Source organism: Homo sapiens, chromosome 7, assembly GCF_000001405.40.
Source record: "Homo sapiens chromosome 7, GRCh38.p14 Primary Assembly".
NCBI lineage: Eukaryota > Metazoa > Chordata > Mammalia > Primates > Hominidae > Homo > Homo sapiens.
The window spans coordinates 27,686,064-27,700,560 of record NC_000007.14 but is presented as its reverse complement, the minus strand read 5'-3'; the positions used below and the strand labels follow the sequence as shown (position 1 = coordinate 27,700,560).

The following is a 14,497-nucleotide window of genomic DNA, read 5'->3' as shown; positions in this document are numbered from 1 at the left end:
ACGTTTTACTCTAATTTTTTAAAGGTGTTCAGGTAGTTTAATTTTATACGCTCAGATGTGCATGTACCCAGATATTTATATGTGAAAGATAAAATGTCAGAATATGTAGAACTATACTCTATAAATAATAGTTTACTCATAATGCGCAGATTTTAATGGTTCCATTTTTGAAATAGAATTGTGCCCAAATTCATTCAGAAAAATCTCACATTAGAATCTAAATATGCAGAAATTGTTGTTTAATAAACTACAAGTTCTTGTAATTTAAAAACAAATTTTAAAAACTGGTTTGAATAAGTAAATTCTTTCACAGTTATTTACTTGAAATAAAAATGTTGTGGAGGCTAGTAAAGTCTTTTTTCATTTCACATGGAAATAATTTGATAAGCTTGGCAAAGATGTGAGAAACATAAAAATGAGCTAAGAAAATTCAAGTTATTTCAGCCTTGAGTTACTAACACCAAACAGAGAACTAGTTTTCACCAATTAAAGAGCAGTTTGATTATACGCCATGTAAAATGCTAATGCAGAAATGAACAATAGCTATTTCTCATTTAAATTTAGTCATCTGGAATGCTTCAAGTAGATAACATTAATGCAAGATGATACAATGCATCCAGATATTGGCAGTAGATTGATTTAAGTAGACATAAATGATCTTTAAAAAATCAGCAACCTTCAGAAGCTGCTTACATCACTTTTGCTTTATTTATGTAATGTAGTCACACATTAATTAGCAATACTGTACAAGAATAGAAAATCATAATTTAGGCCAGGCATGGTGGCTTACGCCTGAAATCCCAGCACTTTGGGAGGCCAAGGCAGGCAGATCACTTGAGGTGAGGAGTTTGAGACCAGCCTGGCCAATATGGCGAAACCCCATCTCTACTAAAAATACAAAAAAATTAGCTGGGTGTGGTGGCACGTGCCTGTAGTCCCAGCTTCTAGGGAGGCTGAGGCATGAGAATCGCTTGAACCGGGGAAACAGAGGTTGCAGTGAGCAAAGATTGTGCCAGTGCACTCCAGCTAGGCAACAGAGGGAGACTGTCTCAAAAAAGAAGAAAGGAAAGAAAGAAAGGAAAGAAAGAAAGAGAAAGAAAGAAAATCATAATTTAACATATCTTTATCTTAGCCATCTATTCCTTGACCCACAAGGTCAAGCTTATGTCAGGACTAAATATCAATATAAACATTCAATTGCCCTCCTTTTTAAAAAGAACTCAACTGTTATTGTTGCAAGCTTAATTAAATACAAATTATTTAATTTGATTTAATAAACAGAAAATTATTCCAAAGAAGTGTACTTGGTATTTAGGGATGTGTTTTTTAAAAATTTAGAGCAAGACACAATTGAAAAGTTTGCAAGTAATGTCGATAATGGTGAAAAATCAGATACAACCTGATTTTTGTAAATAAAAATTAAGGTTTGCTTAAATATTTTTTTCACTTGGTATGGCAGGGACTGTTAGTTGCCTACCCATATCCATTCACCTTTATTTCTTAGTAAAAGCCTTATTTCTTGCTGGGTGGCCATGTATCCAGCAAAAAGACTACATTTTCCAGCTGTCCTTAGAGTTAAGTGTAGTCCCATCACTAAGTTCTGGCTAATGAGATGAAAGCAGAGCTGGGCTTCTGCGAAGTCTCCCTCTAGAGAGCTGATTCAGCCCAAAGGGGAGACTTCTTTGCACCCCTTTTGCTGATGTTGAACTTCAACAGTCAGCTTGGACCATGAAGTGACCTTGAGGTTGGAGACCCTCATATGAAGGAGGAAAAAGATAAAGAAGACCAAATCCTGGAAGATTTGGAGTGTGCAGTCATACAAGGACCTCTGCTCAGAAGGGCCTCACATGTGGTTCAATGCTCTATTATTGCTACCTTGAAACTTTTAATAACTGTCATCTTTGATGTTATATTTTTTGGTTTTGTTTTGTTTTTTGAGACTGGATTTCCCTCTATGGCCCAGGCTGCAGTGCAGTCTCACTGCAGCCTCTGCCTCCTGAGCTCAAGTGATCCTCTCTCCTCAGCCTCCAAAGTAGCTGGGACTACAGGCATGTGCGTCCACGTCCGTTTGTTTTGTTTTGTTTTATTTTTATTTTTTTATTTCTTGAAGACACAGGGTTTTGCCACATTGCCCAGGCTGGTCTCAAACACCTGAGCTCAAGTGATCTGCCTGCCTTGGCCTCCCAAAGTGCTGTGATTGCAGGCATGAGTCACCACACCGAGCCTGAGGTTGTGCTTTCTACATAAAGTCTAGTAGAACAAGGAAGCATGTGTGTGAAAAGAGAAGTTACACACAATCAGCACGTCTGCTGTTTCTTGTTGCCCTATTTGCATGTAGTCTCATGAGCTCTGAATTCCGGAGGCCCCACAATGAGTGAGAGTTCAATGAGACTCAGAGTGTACAAGGAAAATGTGTTAGATCTATGACTAATTAATTGGAGTACTGATGGCCCCAAGAGGCCACACTTTCCATCTGAACTAGAACTTGCTATGCAGAAAGAAGGCAGTGGCATTTCTAGGAACATAAACAATCAAGGAATCCTGTTGTGTCATTTCTTACTTATGTTACTTCCCTGTAGTAGTCAACAACTTACCCTGAAAATAATAACATAGAAGGAAAAGGGAAGTTAGACAGCCCATAGTTCCTTTTAATTTCAGTCCTTCCTTACTTATCAGTAAGCCAAAGGTAGAAAGTGTTGGTAGAAGCTGCTTGTATCAAGAAGTGAAATAAAAACAGTTAATTTCATTTTGTGCAACATTTTCATTCTTCTGGTTAAGAACAAAGTACAAATGCACACACATATTATAAAATATGAATTATGTGATTTCGGTGATCTCATGTACACACATTAAATGTTCTTATATTTGCATTTAAAACTAGCATTGCTTAATATAAAGATGAAGGGTAAAATTCATGCTATCAATTTACGTTTTTACGTATTTTTTGTTACTTAGATCAACAATAGGAAATTTTAAAAAAACACCAGGGCAAGTCAAGAGAGAGGTCCCAGTAGAAAAGAAAAATCTTTATATTTCAGTACTCTTTTTTTGTTTGTTTGCAACCTCCGCCTCTCAGGCTCAAGCGATTGTGCTGCCTCAGCCTCCCAAGTAGCTGGGATTACAGGCACCTGCCATCATGCCCAGCTAATTTTTGTATTTTTGTAGAGACGGGCTTTCACCATGTTCGCCAGGCCGGTCTTGAACTCCTGACCTCAGGTGATCTGCCCGCCTAGGCCTCCCAAAGTGCCGGGATTACAGGCATGAGCCACCACGCTCAGCCTATGTTTCAGTACTCTTAATGAAACACTTTTTAAATTTTTGAACAGGGGCCCCCACATTTTCATTTTGCACTGGGCCCCACAATTACAGTCAGCCTTGACGTCAAGGAACCACCACACCATCCCTAAACTGCCTGCTTTTGTGTTTAAATCACCGTTTCATTTTAGTCAAATATAATCCTTGCCCTTACAGTGTGCAGTATAGTCACTACACTGCTGCTAAAGAAAGATGTTTGAGGCCGGGCGCGGTGGCTCACGCCTGTAATCCCAGCACTTTGGGAGGCTGAGGCAGGCGGATCATGAGGTCAGAAGATCGAGATCATCCTGGCTAACACAGTGAAACCCCGTCTCTACTAAAAATACAAAAAATTAGCTGGGTGTGGTGGCGGGCGCCTGTAGTCCCAGCTACTCCGGAGGCTGAGGCAGGAGAATGGCATGAACCCGGGAGGCGGAGCTTACAGTGAGCCGAGATTGCGCCACTGCACTCCAGCCTGGGCGACAGAGCGAGACTCCATCTCAAAAAAAAAAGATATTTGATTTTTTGGAAAACCTTTGTTGGGTTTCAAAAACAGTGGGGTATAGAAAGTATTTTTTTTTAATTTTTGTTTTAAATATACAAACACACACATAGCATACATAGAAAAAAAAAGACCAGAAATAATTACACCAAAATATTAATGTTCATAATATTTATCTCTAAGAGTTGGAATTATTGGTGTTACCTATTTTCTTTGTACTTGTGTGATTTTCTGTTGTTCAGTATTTCTTAAATGAATATTTAATATTTTTATAATTAGATGAAATTTAGAAAATTTACAAATGAATCCTGAATCAGTATGAAATTTACTATTGAATCTAGAAACTATGTTAAACTTAGTCATGTAATTTTTTTTATACTTCCCTTAATTTGGGGATTTTCAAACTATAAAAATAATACAGGCTAGTTGTAACAACTGAGATTATACAAAGTTATATTTTAAAAAAACAATTTTTCCTGGCACATGCCTGTGGTCCCAGCTACTTAAGAGCCTAAGATAGGAGGACTACTTGAGTCTAGGGGTTCCAGTTAGCCTGGACAACACAGCAAGACCCTGTCTCTTTTAAAAAGCCAAAAAACTATTTTATGTATATATTCTGTCTCTGCCATCTAAGGCTCACATGTTAAATGACCAACATGTATCATTTCACAAATTATATAGTATAATCTAGCCTATATAATTTGCTCATCTCACACACACACAGATTGATTTTTGAGTTTGTTTTCTGTGAAATAGAATTATAAATGTGAATCCACAATTTACTATTTTTACTTAATATATCACAAACTTCTCTAAAAGAAAATACATAAATTTATCATGTTTCTTATTTCTCCATGTGTACATAGAGACATATTTCAAATCCCATTTTAAGCTTCTCATTTTGGAACTTGGAGATGTCTTTTGACAAAGATGCTTTGCTTGACCAAATTTTAGTCAGGCTCCTGAACCTTCTCCTAGGCCCATCTATGCTCTTCCTTGTAAAATCCAGTTTTGGCAAGAGCCCTGCTAAGTCAGTTTAGCAAGAACTCTCCATCCTGCATTTCCTATCACCCTCAATAGCTTGATCAGGTTCCTCAAACTCCGCCATCCTGCAGGAGATGTCTGATCACCCTGGCCTGTCTTCAGCAAGAATCCTGTTAGGTCAATTTCACCAGAATCCCCCTTACCCTTAATGTGTCCTCTTAGTAATTTTTATCCACTGAGCCCTACCCTGCTTCTTGGCTATAAATTCCCATTTGCCTGTGTTGTATTCGGAGTTGAGCCCAATCTCTCTCCTCCACTGCAAAATCCCCTCGCCATGGTTCTTACACTTATTGCAGTCTTCCTGAATAAAGTCTTCTTTAGCATGCTTTAACAAGCATCATTGAATAATTTTTTTCTTTATCACTTCTAAGTATAGACTTATTAAAATAAACATTCTGTCTATGATGCTGTGGAGGGCAGAGGGTGGTTTTCTTGTGGGTAGGATGTTGCTTCCAAGTAAACTCATTCTGTCGTCTTGATCAGAGTATATGGAAGGGAATGCTTTAAATTTGTGTTTCCAGACAAGATATATTTCCCATCCGTATGTTTTCTCCTTGCCTGCACTTTCTTATGCTGTATTTCATCCTATATCATGCTAAAACATTGAGTCAGTCCTCTGGTCTGCAGTATGCTTTCTGGTACATCATTCTCCTATTCTCTTGATGGAAAATAGGTTTGGTGCCTTGAAGAAGTAAGTCAATACATAATTCAATATTGATTAGATTAACCTTAGAAGGCTAGGCAAACAGAAGCTTTACCTTAACAGCACCTGCTGAGGAACTGGGGGAATTGGGGGGATGCCTATTGGTTCGCAAAAGTTATAAGGTAGACCATATTGATATTATAAAATTATGATTATTCCTACATGATAGTGAAAACAGATTTGTAAGGAACTGTCTCAAAACTGATGACTTTGGGCCCTTGCGTAGACAGAGTCTCAGTGAATTCCTCGGTGACCTCAGTGTCCTTATTAGTATGAAGCAGTTGGCAAGAAGATTCTGTCTACTCTCTAGTGCACGTGTATACACTTAACTGCACTTAAATCTTCATTTAATCTGAGCTGAGGAAGAGTTCTGTACCAATGAATGGTTTTCTCATCATTTTAAAATATGTTACATGAGTAGTTAACTTGTTTCTTCTTGGTAACATGTCCACCATTACAATTTATAATGAATCACACTTTAATTTTGCTTATTTATGGCTTTATCCTTATTAACAGTTATTCATTGTTCATTGGCTGTGCTCTGCAGTCTCTGCTGATGAGACTAGAAAATGTTCCTATCACCACAGGGAACAGGTAATTACTCTTTTGGGATTATATTCTTGAAAAAAAAATTGGGGAGTTTTTACTCCTCAAATGAGTCAACAGAAAAATCTTTACAGGATGCAAGCGCAAAATATAGATGAATCAGCCACTACATCAAAAATATTATGGAAACAAGAGAAAAAAAGAAAAACGCTTCCAAGTCTATAGCTAGAATATCTTTTTCAAAGCTCGATTTTTGTACCAAAAGTTGTAGCCACACCTAGTTTATTATCGCAAGGGCTTTGCCTACAAGGCAGATAGAAAATAAAAATTAAGTGCAGAAAAGCTAAATCAAAAATTAACCCTCTGCTCCAAATATGTATCAATACATTACTATGTCTCCCCAAACCAAGGTCATCCCAGGTTCAATGTGGTGATTAAAGAGAGCCTTGTCCTCAAGGCCTGGCCTTGCCAGAAGCAAGCTTATGCAATAGGAAGTTTGTCTCTGTCACATGCACATCTCCAAACAGCTCCCTTTCTCTTTGCAGTCGCTTCTTCTCCCTCCCTCTACCTCTCAGGGGTCTCCCTGTCCCTGCTAAATTTTTCTCTCAGCTGGCAGCAAATTAATGGGTAAGAGGGTACCGTTTGTGGAGAAAATTGTGCTGCTTAGCATTTACAGTCTTTATATTATAGTTTCAATTTTTTTTTTTTTAGTTATTAGAAACAGGGAGGAAAATTCTGGTAGAAAAACCAGTTTGGCTCTGGGTCAGTGAAACCATCTGGCAATTTAATATAATCAAACTTTAGTAATTAATTTTTCATTATAATTGTGTTAAGTGACCCTAAGGTATCTAAGCAGCAGAGGTGGAAGAGGGAAAGTAAAAGTTAGTAGTTCTTTCGCGATTTTCTTTTTCATAGGGTAGAAATAGTCATGGGATCTACCAGACTATGGGGAAATTGCTATTTTCTTCTTTTTTGAGAAATATTTAGCAGAGGGGAAAAACCACCACCAGGAGAACTGTAATCAGAAACGTTTGCTCTTGTAGGGGTTAAAATATAAGTGTAATAGGCTTAAATATTGGGAAAATTGAATTTAAACACCAGGTACTTCCCTCCTATAGCATAAAAGATAGTGGGACTGAAAGCTAGTATGTCCTCTGGCCAAATTCTATATTCAACAGGAAAATCCCCACATTTGAATAGACTCAAGAGTAAAAAAAGGGCCGGGCACAGTGGCTCATGCCTGTAATCCCAGCACTTTGGGAGGTCAAGGCGGGTGGATGATGAGGTCAGGCGTTCGAGACCAGCCTGGCCAACATAGTGAAACCCCGTCTCTACTAAAAATACGAAAAATTAGCCAGGGGTGGTGGTGGGCTCCTGTAATCCCAGCTACTCGGGAGGCTGAGGCAGGAGAATCGCTTGAACCTGGGAGGCAGAGGTTGCAGTGAGCCAAGATCGTGCCACCGCACTACAGCCCAGGTGACAGAGCAAGACTCCGTCTCAAAAAGAAAAAAAAGAAAAAAAAAAGTTTGCTTAGTTAACTGACTTTTTACTAACATGTTATGTTCTTTTCCATCCTTCTCTTTTCAATGGGGTATTTTTAATAATTATGGCTGTAAGTTATATAGTTATATTTTCTTAATAGAGTTTAAACTGTTCAAAGTATTTTTCTGGTTCTTTAGACCCAGGGCCTTCAAAATTCTTTGCAAATTTAATCTCCAAAGCATTTTGAAAAACAACGGGTCTCTTGAACATTTTACAAGGATATCTAAAAATATTTTATCTTAAGTTTAAGTCATTGCAAATAATGTATTTCCTGGTGTATTATAATTTGAATATGTACTTTATTTTATTTTTTGGGACAAGGTCTTTCTGTCTGTGGCCCAGGCTGGAGTGCAGCGGCTTGATCATCGCTTACTGAAGCCTCAAACTCCTGGGCTCAAGAGATCCTCCTGCCTCAGCCTCCCAAGTAGTAAAACTACAGGCACACAGCACTGTGCCCAGCTTATTTTTCATTTTTTTGTAGAGATGGAGTTGGGGGAGGGGGTGGCAGTCTCACCATGTTGCCCAGGCTGATCTGGATTTCTAGCCTCAAGTGATCCTCCCCCTTCAGCCTCCCAAAGTGCTGGGATTACTGGCTTTAGGCACAGTGGCTGGCCTAATTTTATTTTTATCAAATCCTTGGAGCTGCAGGTTTAGCTCGCTCACTTTATGGAGTAAGTCCACTGTACAAATACGTTACTGGAGAAGCCAGTCTCTCCTGTCAAACCAATCAGCTAAATCAGACTTACTGCCTATCATTTCAAAATTTAAATGAATGGCCTATCATTGTGAATCTTAATTCTACAAGAGAGAGACAGAGACGAGGTAGAGAGAGAGACAGAGACAAGGTAGAGAGAGAAGGCATGGAGATTTGCCAAGAGTTTGTTGCCTGGATAAAATAAGTCTTTAGTAAATTTTTTTTTTTTTTTTTTGAGACCGAGTCTCGGTCTGTCTCCCAGGCTGGGGTGCAGTGGCGCAATCTCGGCTCACTGCAAACTCCGCCTCCCGGGTTCACGCCATTCTCCTGCCTCAGCCTCCCGAGTAGCTGGGACCACAGTCGCCCGTCACCACGCTCGGCTAAGTTTTTGTATTTTTAGTAGAGACGGGGTTTCACCGTGTTAGCCAGGATGGTCTCAATCTCCTGACCTCATGATCCGCCTGCCTCAGCCTCCCAAAGTGCTGGGATTACAAGCGTGAGCCACTGCACCCGGCCAGGCGTTAGTAATTTTTACTGAGACTGTCTTTGCTCTTGTTTTCTTTCTTTCTTTCTCTTTCTCTTTCTTTCTTTCTTTCTTTCTTTCTCTTTCTTTCCTTCCTTCCTTCCTTCCTTCCTTCCTTCCTTCCTTCCTTCCTTCCTCCCTCCCTCCCTCCCTCCCTCTCTTTCTTTCCTTCTTTCTTCTGTTAGGGAGGAATGAGAAGAAGCCCCCTCAGAAGCAGTGCATTTTAAATTATCCCCTTATGAGTTATCCTCAAGATTTGTATACGCCAGAGCAATACACCAAGGTAAGATTCAAGTTGGGAGAGAGATAAGTCCGTCTTCTCTGAGATGGAAGAAGGGTGAATGTGTAAAGGCAGATATTGGCAGGCCTTAAAAGGAGCTCTCAGGAAACCAAGATGTAGAAGTTGGGAATCTGGAAACTGATTGCACTATCCATCACAATGTGCTTTTGGAAAGTCTTCATGTACCCTAGGAATATATGAGTATCCAGTTTGAAGCCTACTCCCCTGAACTCTTTTTAGAAGTGCATGTGCTATGAAGATGCTAGATAGAAGATAGGCTTCCGGTGGTGAGGCATGCAAACAGCATCAGGCCGCCAGAAAATCAGTAGGGCAAAAGGAACTCCTTTGTGAACACGCTCCACTATTGGCAGAACTCACATTCCAAAGTTAAATTATTTTCTTTATTTTAATCTATATGTTTTGAATTTTTAGAGATGAAAAAGTCTATAAGACAAAAATATAAAACTAGAATAGTAGAATAAATAGCAGTGGGATTATTTTGCATTTTTTGGCTTTACCAAAGTAGTATAAGGCAGCTTCTGCTTTACTTTCCACTGAAGCTCCTAAATTATAATGACAGCATATTAAGGGAGAATTTAAAGTAATGCCACATGTCAGAGAGTTTGAAAGCATGCCAAAATCATGCCCCTGCTTTGATAATGCCAATTATATGGGTGAAAATCCAAGCTTCATAATAGATAAGCTGATATTTCAAAGGAATGCTTCAAAGGACATTCTTCAGCATCACTTTATGGTAAATATGTTTTCATTTTACCATTCTTTCCCAAAGCATATAATTCCCTATTTTCTCCATGAATTGTAAAACATCCCAAAAAGGAGAACTAGCCATAAGGAAGGGTAAAATCTCTACCAGTAGGAAATGTTTGTTGCATTTATCCTCTCGGTATTTCTGTCTCCCATCTTCAGGTAATACTTTCCCACTTCTTTGAGGATATTGCTCCTCCTTCACTCCATGCAGTTCTGGGCTTTCATTTATATTCTTACCATCATAGAAGTTGTCATGCGATGCAGGTCTAATCATTCGTAGTATTCCATCCTCCTGGCCACACACTGGCCCAGTAGTAGGCATATGACCCTAGCGGGGCCAATTAGAGTCTTTCCCTGTGATATTTATATGAAACTGGGAACACTTCAATGAGGCTACCAAAACATAAAAATGCTGAGTTGTGTTGGATTTCTTATGGAAAATGATAAACAATCAAGTTTTCCCATTAGGATCTCATATGGAGCAGGCCATGCAGATAAAGTAAACAATGGAAGACAGAAAGACACAAATAAATAAGGACACACAAATTATAAGAACTTGAACCCAGGCCCTGGAATGGTATTCGGACAAAGCATTGCCTGCATCAGTGAGAGACAGAGAAGGCCCTGGTGACTTATGGATGACAGAGTCTAAAAATCAGATGTCAAAAGGTAGAAGTTGCCAGGACAGATGCAACAGGAAGGTCCTGTGATATGACTTTTAGGCAAGCAGAATGCCCATGGGCTTTTGGCACTTAAGGAACTTCCTGCACTGAAAGGAACTGGGTGTGAAAGGAGACAGAGATGTGAGGTTTTTAGAAGAGATGTAGGCTTTGCATGACTGAGGACAAGCTGGGGGCTGGGTATGGAGGGGGTATTGAGGCAGCTGCAACACCTGTGTTTCAATAGTGCCATCATGTGGCTATGACACCAGCAACAGCCTAGATCTAGCCCAGTGTGCCACTCTGAGCCAAATTTCTGGTTTTCTCTTCTAGAGGCAGACCTGACTGTACAGTCCCTGAGGTGTATGGATTTCCTATGGTGGGATGTGGGAATGGTCAGAGAGATGGGATTACAGAGAAGAAAGATATTTTCATGTCAGAGAAGTATTATTTGGATAACAAAAATAGATGGCTCCTCATTTTGTCCTTCAAGTCAGAGAAGTGGAGTTGGTAAGTGGAGTTTGGAAGGAGTGTAAACTTCTCTGCATGGAGTTTGTAAGTGAAGTGGAGTTGTAAGTGACGGTGTGCTGGAGTTGGCTTGTACCAGATTGTGAGAGCTGAGTATTAAATTTTCAGGAATTTTGCAAGCTGGTTGTTAAATGAAGCCATCATGAAAAATAAAGTACACATGTCAGATTTAATGACAAAAGATTTACTGGGGAAAGAGTTAGCAGATTGAGATGCAACTCCATTTGTCAAATCATTGCTCAATTGTAACCATATGTTGGCTACAGAAACAAAAGTTTGGCAAAAATTAACAAATGCATTCTTCACAAATCCATTGGCTACATGAAGTCACAATAAAAGTATTGTATATTTTATTATTATTTGTAAATCGTACGCTCTATATCTTTTATGTCACGAAATTTATAATAAACTTATATGTACACACACACATATAAATATGTATGCACACTTTTATTCCCTGAAGAGTCAGTTTTTAAACATTTACTAGCGCACCACTACTTCTAGGTAATATGTTTGTAATTAATTGCTAATAATAACAAAATATGAATAATGCATCATTTCATTCCACTTGCACTCACTTAGTTCCAGACTAGTATGACTCCACCCTAAATCATACTCCATCAATGCTACAAAAAGTTCAGGCTGTCACCAGTGCTTAATAGGAATTCTCATTCAGTTATTTCCTTAAATGCTTTCGTGACAAATAGACAAGTGAACTCCTGTGAGATCCATGGTGAGACTTTAAAGCCATGTTGAAATGCTAACTGCATACTATTTTTGGAAAGTAACGTTTTATTCCCACCTATATAGTTCAATTTTATATGATTACATAAGAGGTTAGATCTTACCATGAGCTACTTCTTTTTTTTCTTTTTTGAAATGGAGTCGTTCTGTGTTTCCCAGGCTGGTTACAAACTCTTGGGTTCAAGTGATCCTCCCACCTCAGCCTCCCACATAGCTGAAATTACAGGCATACATTATAGTGCCTGGCTCGTTGAAAAAGTAGAAAGGTGGATTCTTATGCATGATGACAACCAACAACACAATCTTTGCGACTCTAAAAAATAAAAAGGACAAGGGAGAAGCCTCTATTTTCAATAGCAGACTGTACACATGTATTTGATCTGGATGCCATTAAAATGGCAATAAAGGAACAAAAATTGGAAAGGAAATAAAATGACAAGAATGAAGAGAATGGAATGAGAATCACCAACAGATGAGATTTGTTTTAAATTTATGGAAGTCAGAAAAGAGATGGAATCATGTAATGGATTAAACAGAAGGAAGGAAGCCATAACCCAGATACAGTCGGGAGGGGCTTCAGTGGCAGTAGGAATGAATTTGACCGGCAGCACTTCAGAGAAACTCTGAGGCTGGAGAACTTGGAGTCAAACCATCAAGTAAGCGTGAGAAGAAGATAAAGACACTTTAGGTCTCAGAAACTCCTTTTCTTAGGAAGTTACTTGATGTACCCAAGAAAAAAATAAGAGGGAGGGAAATCTGAAAGAAAATGACTTAGAATACAGAAAATGTGGAACTACTCAGGAGTTAAATAAAAAGAACTTATTTTGGGTACTGCGGGCCTAGAAATAAGTCTTTCCAAATTGGAACAAGAATTCAGTGGGGACTAAAAAGAATATTTTCAGTAAGAAAGGAAAGAATCCCATGTCATAGGTAGAATAAATAAAATGTTGAAAGATATTTGGATATGAGAAAGTAAGCATGTTCTTTTTTTCATGAAAAAAAAAAGCAAGGCAATTAGAAACTCCAGGAAAACAAAAATGCTGAAATAAAGTTGTATTCCTCATATTAATCAATCTAAAATACAGTATAACTTAATTGTATATTATACTGTATTTATAGTACAAGGATTATATTGTATTTAGAGTACAAGGAAAATACAATACAGTATAAGGCAGAGTATAAAGGAAATACAATACAGTATAAGGCAGAGTATAAAAAACAATCTGGCCGAGGGTGGTGGTGCACACCTGTAGTCCCAGCTATTTGGGAGGCTGAGGCGGGAGAATCACTTGAACCCGGGAGGCAGAGGTTGCAGTGAGCCAAGATCACACCATTGCACTCCAGCCTGGGAGACGAGCAAAACTCCGTCTCAAAAAACAAAAACAAAAACAAAAAAACAAAAACAATCTAGTTGACTATGATGTCAGAAGCATTCTCCTTCATGTATACAGCAATCCTAAATGGAATCTATAGTTTGAAAAAAAGCAAGCTTCCTGGCTCTCTGTTGAACAATACCTTTATAGTCTAAATAATAAATGTGTTATTAATTATGATTCAACTTTTAGAATCAATTTATAGATAAGATACAGAAAATGTTATTATGTTATGACCACAGAACAGAATATAAACCACCCTTGACAATGTAAAAGAAAGATAAAGCTGATAGAAATTGGTAGGTAAAATTGAAGAAGAAAAGTAAATGGAAGCATAGGGACACTAATAACCTTTTTTTAAAAAAAAAACATGATGGGGAATTAAGAAATACTGTCTTTGAGTAAGACAACAATAAATAAAACTTAAATATTACAAAGTTTAAAAAATGATAGAACAATCAAATATCTAAAAAAGGAAAAATGGAAAGAGATGTAGATGTAAGTAGAGTGAGTTAAATCCTCATCTTTTAAAGTGGGAGATCAACAAATAAATCAAGCAATGAAAATATGAACGTATTATTTAGATGTATGGAAGTCTCTACTAGAAGTAAAATCATAGTGATTAAAAGCTGTGGTTTCTGGGGAGCAGAGGACTATTGTCTCTCATTATAGTTGCTTTTATAAGCTGAAAAAATTTTAACCATATATACATATTACTTTGATTAGTATAAAAAAGTAAAGTAGTGAGGCAGGATAGCAACTGACACATGAGCTCTGAAGTCAGTTTATGAGTGTTTAGTCTCAGCCTCACCATTTCCTGGCTGTGTGACCTTGGTATGTTACTTAATTCCTTTGTTCCTTACTATCTGTGTGACCTTGGACATATTACTTCATCCTTTTGTGCCTTGCATGACTGTTCTGAGTATTAAATAAGTTAGTGTATATTAAGTGCTTAGCAAAGTGCCTAGCATATAGGAGATGACCATATTGTCTGCTAATTTTGAAATAGACAACAGCTAAGGCTTTTGGAAATCTATGAGGGTGGATAGAACTTTTTCTATTATCAAAACTATCTTATTCTTGAATGTAAATGTATAGAACCTCTTTAGAAGAAATTTTGGCGATTGCTGTTAAAATGTAAAATGCATGTTTTTTGAATCAGTTATTCCATTTCTAGGAATTTATCCTCAGATTTCTATTCACATCTTTGTCTAAAGATGTAAATTTAAAGATGTCCATTTCATCACTATTTATAATGGTAAAAAATTAGAATTGGTTAAATGAATTGTGGTATATC

General features: G+C 38.0%; 1 long non-coding RNA gene across 1 annotated transcript in view, besides 1 other annotated feature; it reads right to left on the bottom strand.

Moving 5' to 3' along the window:
* Nucleotides 1-14,497, bottom strand: part of LOC105375211 (uncharacterized) — a 75,204-nt gene that overhangs the window by 22,489 nt on the left and 38,218 nt on the right. The window lies entirely within an intron of this gene.
* Nucleotides 13,877-14,171: a silencer, noted in NCBI's record as "tiled region #14722; HepG2 Repressive DNase unmatched - State 8:EnhW". NCBI's record gives its function as "represses a minimal TATA promoter and a strong SV40 promoter by Sharpr-MPRA in HepG2 cells {active_cell/tissue: HepG2}" and the evidence as "EXISTENCE:reporter gene assay evidence [ECO:0000049][PMID:27701403]".